The 18,353-nt window shown below is 48.6% G+C and overlaps 1 protein-coding gene across 3 annotated transcripts; it reads left to right on the forward strand.

Moving 5' to 3' along the window:
• Window positions 1-9,409: 9,409 nt before the first annotated feature.
• Window positions 9,410-15,440, forward strand: SPACA3 (sperm acrosome associated 3). Of its 3 annotated transcripts, none has more exons than NM_173847.5 (5): window positions 9,410-9,535; window positions 12,972-13,280; window positions 14,406-14,564; window positions 15,008-15,086; window positions 15,275-15,440. In NM_173847.5, the coding sequence occupies exons 1-5, from the start codon at window positions 9,502-9,504 to the stop codon at window positions 15,339-15,341; spliced, it is 648 nt and encodes a 215-aa protein (NP_776246.1). In that variant the 5' UTR covers window positions 9,410-9,501; the 3' UTR covers window positions 15,342-15,440. The 3 variants fall into 3 exon arrangements, with proteins under 3 accessions (NP_776246.1, NP_001304155.1, NP_001304154.1); NM_001317225.2 differs by lacking the exon at window positions 9,410-9,535 and adding an exon at window positions 10,414-10,568 and having other exon boundaries at window positions 14,384-14,564; NM_001317226.2 differs by lacking the exon at window positions 12,972-13,280.
• Window positions 15,441-18,353: the final 2,913 nt, after the last annotated feature.

An 18,353-nucleotide genomic window follows, 5' to 3' on the forward strand; every position in this document is an offset into this window, starting at 1 on the left:
CTTTATCGTAGTACCCCACTCTAGCGGTACCAATTTACTGTATTAGTCCCTTTTCTTTTTTCTTTTCTTTCTTTCTTTTCTCCCTTCCCTTCCCTTCCCTTTCCTTCCCTTCCTTCCTTCCTTTCTTCCTTTCTTCTTTCTTTTTGAGATGGAGTTTCACTTTTGTTGCCCAGGCTGGAGTGCAATGGCACAATCTTGGCTCACCACAACCTCCACCTCCCAGGTTCAAGTTATTCTTCTGCCTCAGCCTCCAGAGTAGATGGGATTATAGGCATGCGCCACCACACCTGGCTAAGTTTTGTATTTTTTAGTAGAGATAGAGTTTCTCCATGTCGGCCAGGATGGTCTTGAACTCCTGGCCTCAGGTGATCCGCCTGCCTCGACCTCCCAAAGTGCTGGGATTACCGGCGTGAGCCACCGTGCCCAGCCATTTTCATATTGCTAGGAAGAAATACCTGAGACTGGGTAATTTTTAAAGAAAAAGAGGTTTAATGGACTCATGGTTCCACATGGCTGGGGAGGCCTCACAATCATGGTGAAAGGTGAAGGAGGAGCAAAGTCACATCTTACATGGTAGCAGTCAAGACAGCATGTGCAGGGGAACTGCCCTTTATAAAACCATCAGATCTCATGAGACTTATTCACTATCATGAAAACAGCATGGGAAAAGCCCACCCCCGTGATTCAATTACCTCCCACTGGGTCCCTCCCATGACAAGTGGGGATTATGGGAGCTAAAATTCAAGATGAGATTTGGGTGGGGACACAGCCAAACCATATCATTCTATGTATCTATGTGTCTGTCTATAATCTATCTGTTATCTATGTACCTACTTATCAATCTATATATATATAGAGTTTTTATATATTTTTTAATTTTTAATTTTTGTTTTTGAGACAGGATCTTGCTTTGTCATGCAGGTTGGAGTGCAGTGGCACCATCATAGCTCACTACAGCCTTGAACTCCTAGGCCCAAGGATCCTCCTGCTTCAGCCTCCTGAGAAGCGGGGACTACAGCACATGCCACTGTGCCCAGCTAATTTTTTATTTTTCATTTTTGTAGAGATGGGGATCTTGCTTTGTTGCCCAGGCTGGTCTCAAACTCCTAGCCTCAAGCAATTCTCCTGCTTTGGCCTCTCAAGGTGCTGGGATTACAGGTGGGAGCCACAGCACCTGGCCAAGGGAAATTTGTTATAAAGAATTAGCTTATGCAATTATGGAGGCAAATCCCAAGATCTGCAGAGTGAGAGGGCAAACTGGAGACCCAGGAGAGCTGATGTTGTAGTTCCAGTCTGAAGGCCGACAGGCTCAAAACCCAGGAAGAGCCAAATGTTCCAGTTTGAGACTGAAGGCAGGAAACAAACGGTGATGTCTTAGTTGGAAGGCAGGCAGGCAGGCAGGAGGAATTCTCTCTTAACTTGGGAAAAGTGAGCCTTTTCTTCTATTCAGGACTTCAAACAGATTGGATGTGGCCCACCCACATTAGGGAGGGCAATCCGCTTTCTCAATCTACCAATTAAAATGTTAATCTCATCCAAAGCACCCAGAATAGAAACACCCAGTAAAATGTTTGACCAAATATCCTGTGACCCAGTCAAGTGGACACATAAAATTAACCATCACACAGGATAAGATAGAATAATAAAGGAGACACAACACTGAATGAATACAGTGGTGTTAGACTAGTGTAGGAATAAGTGGCTTTACACACCACAGTCCTCCTGCCAACAATGCCACGTGACTACTCCCATTTACTGTGCCCACTGATGAAAAGAGCAGGGAACAGCTCATGGGGAAGAGGTGAATTCTGTTTTCAGTGCACTAAATTTGAGGTGGATCAGGTGAGAGTCTTGATCTATGGATTTTAGGCTCTCTCTGCTTAGCCAGAGGAGGACGCATTCTCTCTTTGCCCACAGTGACCCTGGAACATTCCTTGTGGCCAGCCTGAGGACTCTTCTGACCAAGTCTTCTGGGCTAAGTTTCTTCTGCATCAACTAACTCGGTGATTTTCATTCATTTCTTCATTTCTTTACTCACCCAGCATCTAAAAATCTTTGTTCTTGATGCTGGGAAAATAGACATGGGAGACACAAATCAGGCATTTGCTAGTCTGGTGGGAATGATAGAGAAAGAAGAACTGAGAGCATGTGGGATGTGCTGAGATTATAAGTTAGCACTGGATACTGTACAAGAATGTACCACTGGATACTGTCTAAGTCAGCCCAAGGAGGCCAGAGGGAGATGTCAAGCTTTAGCAGTGCTTTAAGAAGGACTAGATTCTAGCCAGGGAGTTGGGTCAGAAAGAGCAATTTTGACAAATGTGAATATATGATCCCATACAAGACATGGATGCAAAATGTCGTCACACATTTAGGGGAACTATAAGAGTTTGGCTGGAAGTGGCTCTTAGCCCTGGCTGAGCTTTGGAATCACTTGGGAACATTACAAACGTACTGATGCCTGAGTTCTACCCCCAGAGATTTTGGTGTAAATGGCCTGGGATGGGACCCAGGAGTCAGTAGTTTTTCTAAAGTGTTGGCAGGCCTGAGGACAAGGCATGTAAGAGAGGCTGATGGAGAACTTAAACTTGGAGAGAGCAGAGGAGTATCTCTTCTGGGATGTGGTCAAGAATCTGAGCCCACTTTGAGGGTAGGAAACACTGTGCAGAGCTCAGCAGGGAAATAAAGACCTGCTGATCTCCAACTGGGGCCTCGTCTGCCCTTATAACTGTTCCTTTTGAGCTTCTGTTTCTTATTCCCCATTTAAAAGTGAAAGTCAACTGGGAAATAACAAAACATACAATAAAATAAAATAAGCTGAAAGATTACTCAATAAAAAGAAGCAATAAAATAGTAAAAGCAGGCGGATGCAGTAAAACCCCCAAAACTCAACCAGACAGAATCACCACCAAGGGCCAGGCAATAAAAACAATAGCTAAAATGTACTGCTCCAAGTGGTAAGCATCTTCATGCATTGAGACACTTGAGATTCACCACCACCCTAAGAGGGAGGGATGGTTATTATTTCCATTTTATAGGGAAGGAAAACGTGGTTTGGGGAGATGAAGTACAGTGCTCAAGGTTACAGTGGGCAGGGCAGGGTAATGACTCCATTTCAATGATGAGAAGTGGAGGCTAACTTGCCAAGGCTAGTTAGCCAGTTGGGGCAGAGCAAGAAATTGAACTGGGATTTCTAACTCAAGTACAAAGCTCTTCCCTCCCCCACCTCCAATAAAGCCCGAAGACTGGCTGCATGTGGGAGTCATCTGGGAAGCTTTAAAGACATATTGATGCCAACAGACATTTCTTCAAAGAAGACATACAAATGGCCAACTGGTGTTTGAAAAAATGCTCAGCATAGCTAATCACCAGGGAAATGCAAAACTAAACCACAATGAAATATCACCTCATACCTGTCAGGATGGCTATTATTTAAAAAAAAAAACTAAGACAAGTGCTGGTGGTGAGGGTGTGAAAGAATTGGAACCCTTATGCACTATGGGTGTGAACAGAAAATGGTGCTGCTGTTATGAAAAACAGTATGGAGCCTGGGCATGGTGGCTCACACCTGTAATCCTAGCACTTTGGGAGCCTGAGGCGGGTGGGTCACAAGGTCAGGAGTTCAAGACCAGCTTGGCCAAGATGGTGAAACCCTGTCCCTGCTAAAAACACAAAAATTATCTGGGCTTGGTGGTAGGTGTCTGTAATCCCAGCTACTCAGGAGGCTAAGGCAGAGAATTGCTTGAATGCAGGAGATGGAGGTTGCAGTGAGCCAAGATCGTACCACTGCACACCAGCCTGGGCAACAGAGTAAGACTCCATCTCAAAAAAACAAAAATAGTGTGGAGATTCCTCAAAAAATTAAAAATACCATACGATCCGGCAATCCTGTTTTTTGGTATTTATCCAAAATAATTGGAATCATGATCTCCAAGAGATATTGGCACTCCCATGTTGATATGGTTTAACTCTGTGTCCCCACTCAAATCTGATCTAGAATTTTAATCCCTACGTGTTGAGGGAGGGACCTGTAATCCCCATGTGTTGAAGTAGGGAGGGAAGTGATTGGATCATGGGGTGGGGGCAGTTTCCCCCAGGCTGTTCTCTTGATAGTGAGTGAGTTCTCATGAGATTTTTCTTTTTTTTTTGAGACTGAGTCAGGCTGGAGTGCAGTGGCATGATCTCAGCTCTCTGTAACCTCTGCCTCCCGGTTCCAGCGATTCTCCTGCCTCAGCCTACTGAGTAGCTGGGATTAGAGGTGCATGCCACCACACCTAATTTTTTTTGTATTTTTAGTAGAGATGGGGTTTTGCCATGTTGGCCAGGCTGGTCTCAAACTCCTGGTCTCAAGCAATCCACCTGCCTTGGCCTCCCAAAGTGCTGGGATTACAAGCATGAGCCACTGTGCCCAGTCAGAGTTCTCATGAGATCTAACGGTTTTCTAAGCATCTGGCATTTCCCCTGCTTGCACTTCTCTTGCCTGCCACCATATAAGATTTGCCTACTTCCCGTTTCACCATGGTGGCAAGTTTCCTGAGGCCTCCCCAGCCATGCGGAACTGTGAGTCAATTAAACCTTGTTCTTTTATAAATTACCCAGTCTCAGGTATTTCTTTATAGCAGTGTGAAAATGGGCTAAAACAGTAAATACAATGGGGGTACAGGCATTGGGTAAATGTTTCCATTCCAAATGGGAGAAATTGGCCAAAACACATGGGCTACAGGCCCTATGCAAGTCCAAAACCCAGCTGGTCAGTCATTAAATCTCAAAGCTCCAAAATCTCCTTTGACTTTATGTGTCACATCAAGGTCATGCTGATGCAAGAGGTGGGTTCCCATGGTCTTGGGCAGCTCTGCCCCTGTGGTTTTGCAGGGTGGAGCCTCCCTCTCGGCTGCTTTCACCAGCTGGCATTGAGTGTCTGTGGCTTTTCTAGTTGCACAGTGCAAGCTTTCAGTGGATCTACCATTCTGGGGTCTGGAGAACAGTGACCCTCTTCTCATAGCTCCACTAGGCAGTGCCCCAGTGGGGACTCTGTGTGGGGGCTCTAACCCCACATTTCCCTTCCACACTGCCCTAGCAGAGGTTCTCCATGAGGGCTCCACCCCTGCAGCAGGTTTCTGCCTGCACATCCAGGTGTTTTCATACATCCTCTGAAATGTAGTGGAGGTTTCCAAACCTCAATTCTTGACTTCTGTGCACCTGCAGGCCCAACACCACGTGGAAGCCACCAAGGCTTGGAGTTTGTACCCTCTGAAGCCATGGCCCCTTTTAGCTCTGGCTGGAGCTGGAGTGGCTGGGATGCAGGGCACCAAGTGCCAAGGCTGCACAAAGCAGCAGGGTGCTGGGCCTTGCCCATAAAATTATTTTTTCCTCCTAGGACTCCAGGCCTATGATGAGAGGAGCTGGCTTGAAGATCTCTAACATGCCTTGGAGACATTTTTCCCATTGTCTTGGCTACTAACATTTGGTTCCTGGTTACTTATGCAAATTTCTGCAGCTCATTTGAATTCTTCCTCAGAAACTGGGTTTTTCTTTTCTACCACGTGGTCAGGCTGCAAATTTTCCAAACCTTTATGCTCTGCTTCCCTTTTAAACATAAGTTAAAATTCCAAACCATGTCTTTGTGAATGCGTATAACTAAATGCTTTTGAGAGCACCCAGGTCACTTCTTGAATGCTTTGCTGCTTAGAAATTTCTTCTGCCAGATACCCTAAATCATCTCTCTCAAGTTCAAAGTTCCACAGATCTCCAGGGCATGGTCAAAATGGCACCAGTCTCTTTGCTAAAGCATAGCAATAGTGACCTTTGCTCCAGTTCCCAATAAGCTCCTCATCTCTATCTGTGACCGCCTGAGCCTGGGCTTCATTGTCCATATCACTATCAGCATTTTGGCCAAAACCATTCAACAAATCTTTAGGAAGTTCCAAACTTTCCCACATCTTCCTGTCTTCTTCTGAGCCCTCCAACCTGTTCCAACCTCTGCCTGTTACTCAGTTCCAAAATTGCTTTCACATTTTCAAGTTATCTTTATAGCAGTGCCCCACTACATTGGTACCAATTTACTGTATTAGTCCATTTTCACACTGCTATAAAGAAATACCCAAAACTGGGTAATTTATAAAGGAAAGAGATTTAATTAACTCACAGTTCCACATGGCTGGTGGAGGTGGCTCAGGAAACTTACAATCATGGCTGAAGGGGAAGCAGGCACGTTTTACAAGGTGGCAAATGAGAGAAGTGCAAGCGGTAGAAATGTCAGATGCTTAGAAAACCATTAGATCTCATGAGAACTCACTCACTATCATGAAACCAGCATGGGGGAAACCCTCCCATGGTCCAATCCCCTCCCTCCCTTGACACGTGGGAATTAAAACTTCCTCCTTTGACACATGGGGATTGCAATTCAAGTTGAGATTTGGGTGGGGACACAGAGCCAAACAATATCACATGTTCATTGCAGCATTGTTCACAAAAGCCAAGAGGTGGAAACATGTGTCCATCCACTGTGATATGGTTTGGACATGTGTCTCCTCCAAATCTCATGTTGAAATGTGATCTCCAGTGTTGGAGGTGGGTCCTATTGGGAGGTGTTTGGGTCATGGTGGTGGATCCCTCATAAATGGCTTTGTGCTGGCCTTGTGGCAATGAGTGAGCTCTCATCCTATTAGTTCATGCAAGAGCTGGTTGTTTAAAAGAACCTGGCATCTCCTTCCATCTCTCTTGCTCCCTCTCCTGCCATGTGACATGCTTGCTCCCCCTTCACCTTCCACCATGAGTAAAACCTTCTTGAGGCCTCGCAGAAGCCCAGCAGATGCTGGCACCATATTTCCTGTACAGCCTACAGAACTGTGAGCCAAATAAACTTCTTTTCTTTATTAAGTTCCCCAGCCTCAGATGTTCCTTTATGGCAATGCAAAATGAGCTAACACACACAGATGAATGGATAAAGAAAATGTGGTATACACACAAAGTGGAATACTATTCAGGCTTAAAAAAGAAGAAATTTCTGACATATGCAACAATATGGATGAGATTTAAGGACAATATGCAAAGTGAAATATGCCAGTTACAGAAAAGGAAATAATTCTACTTTTATCAGGTACCTAGAATAGTCAAATTCATGGAATCAAAGAGAGGAATGGTGGTCACCAGGGGCTGGCAGGAGGAGAAAACAGGGAGTTACTAATCAATGAGCATAAAGATCCAGTCAGGTGGCTGGGTGTGGTGGCTCACGCCTGTAACCCCAGCACTTTGGGAGGCCAAGGCAGGTGGATCACCTGAGGTCAGGAGTTCGAGACCAGCCTGGCCAACATGGTGAAACCCTGTCTCTACTAAAAATACAAAGATTAGCCAGGCGTGGTGGTGCATGCCTGTAATCCCAGCTACTTGGGAGGCTGAGGCAGGAGAATAGCTTGAACGCAGGGGGCAGAGGTTGTAGTGAGCCGAGATCATGCCACTTCACTCTAGCCCTGGCAAAAGAGTGAAACTCCATCTCAAAAAACAAAAAACAAAAAACAAAAAAAAAAAAAGAAAAGAAAAAAAGAAAAAAAAGAAAATCCAGTCAGGCAAGATGAATGAGCTCAAGAGAGCTGCTGTACAGCAGTGTCCTCTACAGTCAACAATAATGGATTGCATATTAAATATATGTTAAGAGGGTAGATCTCCTACTAAGTGTTCTTACCTCAATAAAAAAATGAAAGAAAAAAATACTGGTGCTGATGCTGGGCCATCCCTCAATTTTAACTTGGTTGTCCTGGGGTGGGGCCCAGACAGATAGGGTGGACATGGTGCAACCAGACACTTTTATGGCTGTGCTCTGCACTTAGTAGTAATTACTATTATTTATTGAGCACCTGGGGTACTAAGCACTTTGTTGCTGTTTCATTGAGCCTTCCTAGTACCCTGTGAGGTTGGTGTTGTCATCCCCGCTTGAGAATCAAGGAATCAGAAAGTGAGGCTGTTTTCTCTAGGTCATCCACCTGGAAGTCACTAGCGCCTGTGTTCAGCCCTGGTCAGCCTGACCCCAAAGCCTATGCTCTAGCTGCTGTGCTGTGGGACTCAGGCTCCTGTGGGACACAGACGTGGGCACCACATGCCCTTTCCTTCCAATTCTCTGTCCTTTAAGTTTTAGGGTCAATAGGGTAACCTTTGCCCTGCACCTGTCCACACTGAATGGCCATCATCCAGGTGGAGAAGGGAGTGGCTTGTGGCTCAGCATTAAGGAAGAACTTTCTGGCACTCAAAGGAGCTTCATGGTGAGATGGGCAGCCTGGAAAAGCAGAGGGCAACCACCACCATCCCTAGGAACCCACCACCATCCCTGGGCACCTACCCCCATCCCTGCACATCCCTCACAATCCTTGGGCACACATCACCATCTCTGGGAATCTACCACTATCCTTGCACACTTACCACCGTACCTGCACACTGACCACCATCCTACACACTCACCTCTGCCTCTGCGCACCCACCGCCATTCCTGAACATCCACCACCATCCCTGGGCACCCAACACTACCATCCCTGCACATCCACCACTGTCTCTGAACACCCACCACCATCCCTGCACATGCACCACCATCCTGGGGCACCTGCTACCATCCTTGGGCACCCACTTCCATCCATGCACACCCATCACTGTGCCTGGGCACCCACCAACATCCCTGCACACCCACCACCATCCTGGGGCACCCACTGCCATCCCTGGGCACCCACTACTGTCCCTGCACACCCACCACTGTGCCTGGGCACCTACCACCATCACTGCATATCTGCCACCATCCCTGGGCACCCACTACCATCCTTGCACATCCACCACTGTTCTTGCACACCCACCACTGTCCCTGGGCACCCACCACAATGCCTGCATATCCACCACTATTTCTGGGCACCAACCACCATCCCTGCACATCTATCACCATCCCTGGGCACCCACCATCATCCCCGTGCACCCACTACCATCCCTGCACACACACCACCATCTCTGGGCACCCACTACCATCCTTGCACACGCACCACTGTCCTTGCACACCTGTTAACATCCCTGGGTACCCATCACCATCTCTGTACATCCATCACCATCCCTAGGTGTCTACCATTATCCCTGGATAATCATCTGAAAGATCTGTTGGGAGAGGAAGTGTCATCCCTCAGTGTAGTGTGTGTGTGTGTGTGTGTGTGTGTGTGTGTGTGCGCGCGCGCATGTGTGTATGTGTGTGTGTGTGTGGGGCAGAGATGTGCAAGGGGGCTGGGATTAGATATCCTGCTCTGCCTCTGGACCCTGAGTGGAAGGGCTCAGGTGGGCTAGTCAAAGCTCTGTGGTGGCGCTGTTTGTGGAAGATGAGCTCACAGAGCTGGAGTTCTAGAAGGCCCTCCGTTGGCCTGGAGCCTGCCTTCCCCATTGTTCTCTTAACACTGGGTGCCTGGGGCCCTGGCAAGGTTGTGGGGGACATCTTGAGCTGAAGCAGGGTTTTGAGCCACTGCTGCTGCTGCCATTGTCACCATGGTCTCAGCTCTGCGGGGAGCACCCCTGATCAGTGAGCCCCCTTTCCCTTCTTCCTGGGGCTGTTAACAGGGGCGCTGGGTTGGTCTGGCCAGAGACCAGGTGGAGAAAAACAAGGTGGTGGTTAGGGTGGGGTTATCCTGGCCTGGAAGAGTGACCAGCTGAGAGAGGAGAGAGAGAGAGAGAGAGAAACTCTGGAGCTGTTGTGAAATGCTCAGGATGGAATTCCTTTTAAGTCACTTTTCTACAAAAAAAAAAAAAAAAAAAAAATCAAAAACAGTCCATGTGTAGCAGTCAATTTAGTTTCCTCCTCTACAACTTAGGGATATTAACCCCACACCTTTCAATTGCTGAGAGGATTGGATGAGATTAAGTTGGAAAAGCTCTGGGAAAGGCCTGGCACAGTGTTCAAAGACTTGACAAACTCCACCAGGTTGGCTGCCTCCTCCTTCTCACTCCCCTCGCGGTGAGAAGAAGGTCTCATGTCCCTGTGGCCACGCCTTTTGTGGACTTGAGTTTCAGAAGCAGCCACAGAGCAGCTACTCCATGCCAGCAACTCTGCAGATAAATAAGACATGCAGATAAATAAGACCAGCCGCCGTTCTTCAGAAGTTAACTTTGTGGTGGGAAAGACTGACATCTATTCCAGCCTCGTGTGACAGAGGATGTGGAAGATCGGGTGTGTGAGAGTGTGGGGGGTGGTGGCATGCCAGGAGACTCTCACTGGGGAACACACCTCTGATAAGACCCTTCAAGTATGAGTCAGAGTTAACCATGTAGAGGAAAGGAGAGGGTGAATGTTCTAGAAAGCAAGGTCATTGTGAGAGAACAAGGTGGCACTGCTGAAACATAACGTGTGAATGAGGGAGTGGGCCGCAGGGCTGGGCTGTGAAGGGTCGTGAAGGGCCGTGTGGACCTCGAAGGGGCAGTTATGGTGGGAGCCATCCAAGGTGTCACAGGGCTGGGCTTTTCATTTAACAAATTTGTTCTGATGGATGTGTATAGAATAGCTTGGAAGAGTGGTTGAGACATGATACAAGAAGACCATGAAGGAAGCCAGGATGGAGGTGTGAACCTAGGAAAGGACGGTGCTCTCGGAGGGAAGGTGGAATCCACAGGACATTGGGACTGATTGGTTGGAACTGGGTGAAAGATGTCATGGGGAAGGAGTGAAGAATGACATTCATATTTCCAGTTTGGGTAAATGTGTGGCCCATCATGTTTTAAAGCACATAAGGAAAGTCACAAGGCAGAAGAAGGCATTGATGGAAACAGTGGTTCTGTTTAGATGTGCTGGGTTTGAGGTGCCTGCAGGGCATTCAAGTGGAAGTGTCCTGCCAGTAGCTGCCTCTGAGGTCTTGGGGAAGATGCCACAGGGGTTGCCAGCCTTCAGGCGGTGGCTAACAGCAGGGCTGCCCAGGGGGTTTCCTCAAAGTGGAAGAGAAGAGGGCTCAAGGCAGGAAGGCCTTAGAAAGCATATCAGCGTTTATGGCCTGGGCAGAAGTGAATTCCACGGAGGATAAGGAGGAGAGTCAGCCAGAGAGGGAGGAGGAAACCTGGGAGAAGGGAGCATCGTGGAAACCAGGAGAGGCAAGCCTTTCAACAGCGGGTGGCGGACGGCATGAGTACAGCTGAGAGCTCCCATGAGACAGAGTCGAAGGGGGCCTCCTTGGACCCGCAGAGCAGTTTCAGCGCGCGGTGATGGCAGGGAGGCCAATTCACCAGGTTGGAAAACAAGCGGGAGGGAGAAAGTGGCGATTTTCCCCAGGAGTTTGGGCGAGAAGAGGGGGAAAGAGACAAGGGAGTAGCAGTCAGCATGAGACTTGAGGGAAGGCATTTAGAAGATGGAGACTGAGAAAGTCTCTACGAGCAGGGGAAGGAGGAGCAGGAGGGGAACGGTGCTAGCGCGCCGGGAGAGGAGGGACAACGGATGGAGCAAGGCTTGGTGATGGGAAGGACAAATCTAGAGCTTAGAGGGAAGATGGGCCTGCATGAGATTGGAGGCCCCGTACCCAAACAATGACGGGGTGGAGATGAGGGCGAGGAGGCTACTGATGAGTTTGCAAGTGAGCAGGGCTAAGGCAGAAAGAGGAAGAAATTCCACAAGTGAGCACCTTGCTTTTCTTAGTGCAGCAGGAGACGAGATCATGTTCTGAGAGCCAAGGGGTGGGACAGCGTGGCGTGCTAAAGGACAATACTGAGGGTTTTCATTTCCTGTGAGGGAAATGGGAGAGAGAAGTCTGAGCAGAGACAAGCGCGAGTACCAGTGTTAGTTGTAGTTCATAACAGAAACAACAACTCACTTATTTTTAGTGCCAAGAGCTACGCTGTGCCCACGCCTTTTCTCATTTATTCTTCCAACAATCATATGAGGCAGGTGTTACTCACGTCCTCATTTTATAGAGGAAGAAACAAGCCTCAGGGAGGGCCCAAAATCAGAGATGGAGCAAGGAGCAGAGGGGGGCTTCCAACCCGAACCTTGCTGCAAAGCCATGACCTCAACCACTTTGTCATCCTCGGGGGCATTCAAGGTCCCGTGGAGGTTGGAGACCAGGGACACCAATTGGCACAAACAAGAGTTTGTACAACTCTTTCACTTTTTGACTCTGTGAAGGTGGAGAGCAGGTGTGGAGGCGCAGAGGTCAAGAGAAGCATGGGAAGGCTTGTCAGAGGTGGTGGGCAGTGGGATAGGAGCTCACAGAGGTGGGGAAATGCGGGTGAGGACAAGAAGCAGGGATGACCAGGGCAGGGGAGGGACTGGCTGAGACACAGAGGAACTGGAGGGGACTAGGTCTGGGGAGATGAAGGAGCCCTGATGCTGTGACACCCAGGTGCTAATGTCCTCTGTGATTTGGGGGACTGGCCACACACAGCCAATGATGACAGGGCAGGGAGGTCAAACCAGACGGGCAGGCTGGGCTTCCAGGGAGAAGGGCTTTTTGCAGGTTATGGTTTAGAAGTGGTGGTGGGGGTGGAGGAGACTCTCGGGACATCTTGGGGTCTTGTGTGTGGAGAAAGAGCAGCTTCCCCTTGAGCGGGCTATAGGGGAGCAGTGTTCTGGGGGAGACCTTGTTTCAGTTAAGATCTGGAGATGGAGGGTCAATGCCAGAAGGGCTGTCCCTTGACAGTTGGGCTGAGAGACCCATGAACACACCGCCTGGCCATCCCCTCCGGGAGCATCTGCTCAGTGGGGCTTTGGATTTATAGAACTTTGTCTCCATCCAAACTTCGCCCCTTCCTAGTTATAAAATCTTGGGCCTCAGGACTAAATAATCCGTAACGTGTAATATGGAGCTTACAATAGGTTAGTTTTCTTCCTGTCTCTGGCCTGGGTGGTGTGAAGCAGGATGGGGAAGGAGAGGGGCTGGTCTCGGGGTCAGGGTGATGCTGATCAGGAATGCAAGGGGGCTGATACGTGCTGCTGGAGCCTGGCCTTCTGCCCACCCCTTCTCTCCTCTCCCCTTTCCCAGGGGTGCACTCAAGCCCTGTTTCTTCTCCTTCTGTGAGTGGACCACGGAGGCTGGTGAGCTGCCTGTCATCCCAAAGCTCAGCTCTGAGCCAGAGTGGTGGTGGCTCCACCTCTGCCGCCGGCATAGAAGCCAGGAGCAGGGCTCTCAGAAGGCGGTGGTGCCCAGCTGGGATCATGTTGTTGGCCCTGGTCTGTCTGCTCAGCTGCCTGCTACCCTCCAGTGAGGCCAAGCTCTACGGTCGTTGTGAACTGGCCAGAGTGCTACATGACTTCGGGCTGGACGGATACCGGGGATACAGCCTGGCTGACTGTGAGAACCCCTCTCCCTGGCGGGCCCTGACTTCCCCACACCTCCCTCCCTCTTTCCCTCCCTCTCTCCTTCTCATTCAAGGGCTGTGGCTTCGGGAGCTTTTAGAGCCCTTCTGTAAACTGAAGATGATTTGAGATGGCAGGTAGAGAACAGCCAGCACGGAGTAAAACACGCAGTAGGCAGGCAGCAGGCAACCAAATTGGAGTCACCCCTTCATTTCCCCCTGCTGCTAAAGTCGGGGTCAAAGGAAACAAACAGCTCAGTCCCCTAAACTTAACTATGGCCACAAGGATCAGACATTCCTTCTGAAATTAGAAAAGACAAACTGAACAGAGCAGTCATGCCAAACTTTTCAAGCTGGTGGCAGTTTTAGATGGCCATGTGGGAAGGGCAGTCATACCGGGGCTCATCTTTCTAACAGGTCGAGCACCCTCTATAGATTCCACCTGGGTCTTCCTAATCTTGTTACTGAAGATTTAGCACTTGTAGGCTGGGTGCAGTGGCTCAGGCCTGTAATCCCAGCACTTTGGGAGGCCAAGGCAGGTGGATCACTCTGAGGTCAGGAGTTCGAGACCAGCCAGGCCAATATGGCGAAACCCCGTCTCTACTAAAAATACAAAAATTAGCTGGGCATGGTGGCAGCTACCTATAATCCCAGCTGCTTGGGAGGCTGAGACAGGAGAATTGCTTGAACCCGGGAGGCAGAGGTTGCAGTGAGCTGAGATCACGCCACTACACTGCAGCCTGGGCAACAGAGTGAGACTCCGTCTCAAAAAAAAAAAAAAAAAAAGATTTAGCACTTGTAGATTCATTCAACAAATTTATTGGGCCCTACTATGTGCTGAACAATGAGATAATGGGAAGACTGCTGGGCTAAAAGTCAAGAGGCCTGAGGCCAGCCCCAACCCATGCTATTTGGTAGCTGGATGGGACCCTGGGTGAGTCGCTGTGCACCTCTAAGCCTCGATTGATTGGTTTGCAAAGCAGGTGGGAGGCACCTGCCCCAATCACCTTGATCAGGCAGGAGAGGCTCGGTGGAGCCAGCGTGGGACCTGTGCAGTGAGCACCCTGGTCTGGGGTGGCTGTAACCATCTGACCCCCAGGCCTATGCTCTGCCCTATGCAGGGGTCTGCCTTGCTTATTTCACAAGCGGTTTCAACGCAGCTGCTTTGGACTACGAGGCTGATGGGAGCACCAACAACGGGATCTTCCAGATCAACAGCCGGAGGTGGTGCAGCAACCTCACCCCGAACGTCCCCAACGTGTGCCGGATGTACTGCTCAGGTAGCTGGGCCTGGGCCCAGGGCTGGCAGGAGTCAGGCCCTGCATTAGCTTTTGTTCCATTCCCAGTTTAGTTTGCTACCCCCATCTCTGAGTGAGGGTTCCCCCACATCAGGCTGGGCCCACGGAGGAGAGGGAGATGGGACAAGGGATGAGGGTAGGTCTTCCATCAGTCTGAATTGGGGTCCCAGATAGGAGACTGCCTTAGGGCTATAGGAATGGAGGGAGGATTGTTTCTGATGGAGGGGGAGAGGGATAGGGTTGTACCTGTGCTTCCGGAGTGGTTGAGACAGGATTGGATTTAGGCGAGTGGAGTGTGTGTGTGTGTGTGTGTGTGTGTGTGTGTAGAGAGAGAGAGAGAGACAGACAGATACACACTCACACACACACACACACACCTGGATGTCTCCTGTTCTCTCATTGTGTTTCTCTGCCTATCACCCCAGATTTGTTGAATCCTAATCTCAAGGATACCGTTATCTGTGCCATGAAGATAACCCAAGAGCCTCAGGGTCTGGGTTACTGGTAAGTAACTTGGGCTGGAGCCCCGCAGCGGTGGTATGGTTAGGACTGGTGGGCAGCAGCAGGGAACAAACCCCTTTCCTTCCTCACTTCTGGTTTAGAGACCACACTCTCCTTCTTGTTCTTCTCTGGGCGGTGACTGGCAACTGCAGCTGATATTATCTCTCCTCTTCCCTGTTCTCCATCCTCAGGGAGGCCTGGAGGCATCACTGCCAGGGAAAAGACCTCACTGAATGGGTGGATGGCTGTGACTTCTAGGATGGACGGAACCATGCACAGCAGGCTGGGAAATGTGGTTTGGTTCCTGACCTAGGCTTGGGAAGACAAGCCAGCGAATAAAGGATGGTTGAACGTGAATATGGCTCTCAGCTCTCAGTGTGTCTGCAGGTGCCATGTCAGAGCCAGAGCACCTCCGTTTTCCCTCACCTCACCTGTCCGCTTGGGCTGGGTTTCCAGTGGACTCCAGAAAGCCCAGCACCAGAGGCTTACCTCCATTTCTGGTGGCCTGTGGGCAGGTGTTTGGGGGGGGCACCAGTGCATTTTTTGTCTACCACACCTGGCAAAATTTGGGTCTAGGGTGGCCAGATTTAACAAAACAAATACATAAGAAACAACAAAAACAGGATGCCCCAGTTTAATTTGAACTTTGGATATACAACAGATAATTTTAAGCATGTCCAAAATATTGCATAGGAACATATTTATATTAAAACTATTTGACGTTTATCTAAAATTTAAACTTAACTGGGTGTCCTATGTTTTACCTGGCAACCCTAGCTGGATCTAGGGCTGTGCACCTCTGGCTTGATTGGGAAGGTTCTTGGGACACTTTTTTTCTGCAGCTTTGGTTGCAGATGGTGGTCACTGTGCTTTGGCCCTCCAGCTGTGACTACTAACACACACCCCTGCCAAGCCGGGGGTGCTGCTTGGTCGCGGGAGAAGAATGACCACCCGGAGCTTCTGCTTTCACCTTGCTCTCTGGTGCCCTCTCGTGGCGGAAGATTCAAGTGCCGCTGATAGAGACGGTGCGCTCACTTTGCCCACTACTGCTAGGAGTTTGGAGGATGGGACGGGAGTGACCGTGGCTTTCAATCCGCACAGCCAGTGCAGCCTTCTGCCTTAGTCAGCACACGAGAAGCCCAGAAAAAGATAGCGCGGTCCCCTGCTAATCTGGGACGACTGCCTCTAAAGGAGGAAGGTGGGTGGGTCTCAGGATCGCAGTGGATGTGGTGGCAGCAGCAGCAGTTGCAGAGATAGGATGATGTGTGAGAAGCCTGAGCCCTGAGTTCAGACTGTAGATTCTTCTGAAAAGGTTCCAAAGAAACCTGTAAGCACTGAACTGTTGGTTGAGGCATGGCTGGTGACTCTTAGGGAGAGGAGGGGACGACACTGTCGCCCCCCACCATCCTCCTCCACCTAATTCAGCCACCCTGAATGCCTCCGGGTCAGCATACACCAGAGGGGCGTGGAATGTCCACAATTAGCGAGTCAGGCCAGTTTCCTTCCCCTGCTGGTCTGGTCAAGATGATGATGAAACTTGAGAGCGACTCATGCAAGGGGACAGAGTGGTGAAGAACCCTGCTGGCAGTAGGGGCATCAATGACTAATGGAGCTATTAAATCATAAGTAGGGAGAAGCTGCTGTCTTTTTAACATCAAGGCAAACACGGTGTGCCTACCATGTGCCATGCATTATCTAATCTAGACCCTAGAACAATAGCTATGATGCAGCTACCATTATGACCACCATTCCACAGACAAGGGGAAACAGAGGCTCAGATGAGATAAATTTGCACCCAGCTCAGTGTGACTCCACATGTACGCTTACTCACTGTACTTTGCCAAGGGGTTGTTGTTATGGTCATCTGGCCTGGGACCCATGACCCATCCATCTTTCTTTTTTTTAAATTTATTTTTTGTAAGACAAATTAAAAATTTTATTTATTTTTATTTGTACAACTAATGGGGTACCTGTGTGATTCTGTTACACATATAGATTGTATAGTGGTCAAGACAGGGCTTTTAAAGTATCCCTCATCTGAGTAATGTACACTGTCCCCATTAAGTAATTTTTCATTGTCCACCCCCCTCATACCCTGCATTGTTCTGAATCTCCATTGTCTATTATTCCAGTCCTTTTTTTTTGAGATGGAGTCTCACTCTGTCACCCAAGCTGGAGTGCAGTGGTGCGATTTCAGCTCACTGCAACTTCTGCCTCCGAGGCTCAAGAGATTCTCGTGCCTCAGCTTCCTGAGTATAGGTGCCCACCACCGCACCTGGCTAATTTTTGTATTTTTAGTAGAGATGGGGTTTCACCATGTTGACCAGGCGGGTCTTGAACTCCTGACCTTGTGTAATTTGCCCACCTTGGCCTCCCAAAGTGCTGAGATTACAGGCATGAGCTACTGTGCCCGGCCCCTATTATTCCAATCTTTATGTCCATGTGTACACATTTTTTCACACCCACTTAGGAGTGAGAACATGTGACATTTGACTTTCTGTCCCTGGCATTTTTGACTTAAGATAATGACCTCCAATTCCAACCATGTTGCTGCAAAAGACATGATTTCATTCTTTTTTTAGGGCTGAATAGTATGCCATTGTGTATATACATCAAATTCTCTTTTTCCATTCATCCATTACACTTAGGTTGGTTCCATATCTTTGCTATTGTGAATAGTGCTTTGATAAACATGAATGCAGGTGTCTTTTTGACATAATGGTTTCTTTTCCTCTGGGTAGATACCCAGTAGAAGGATTGCTAAATTGAATGGTAGTTCTACTTTTAGTTCTTTGATAAATCGCCATACTATTTTCCACAGATATGTTAATTTACACTCCCACTAACAGTGTATAAGAGTTCCCTTTTTTCTGCATCATCACCAACATTTGTTGTTTATTGCCTTTTTAATAACAGATATTCTGATTGGGGTGAGATGATATTTCATTGTGGTTTAAATTTGCATTTCTCTATAATCAGTGATGTTGAACATTTTTCATGTAACTGTTGACCATTTATATATCTTCTTTAAAAATGACTATTTATGTCCTTTGCCCACTTTTTTTTTTTTTTTGAGAAAGGGTCTTGCTTTGTTGCCCACGCTGGAGTGCAGTGGTTTGATCATGGCTCATGGTAGCCTTGACCTCCTGGGCTCAAGCAATTCTCCCACCTCAGCCTCCTGAGTAGCTGAGACTACAGGCATATGCCACCACACCTGGCTAATTTTTGTTTTTTTATAGAGACAAGGTTTCACTCTTTTGCCCAGGTTGG

This window comes from Homo sapiens, chromosome 17, assembly GCF_000001405.40.
Source record: "Homo sapiens chromosome 17, GRCh38.p14 Primary Assembly".
NCBI lineage: Eukaryota > Metazoa > Chordata > Mammalia > Primates > Hominidae > Homo > Homo sapiens.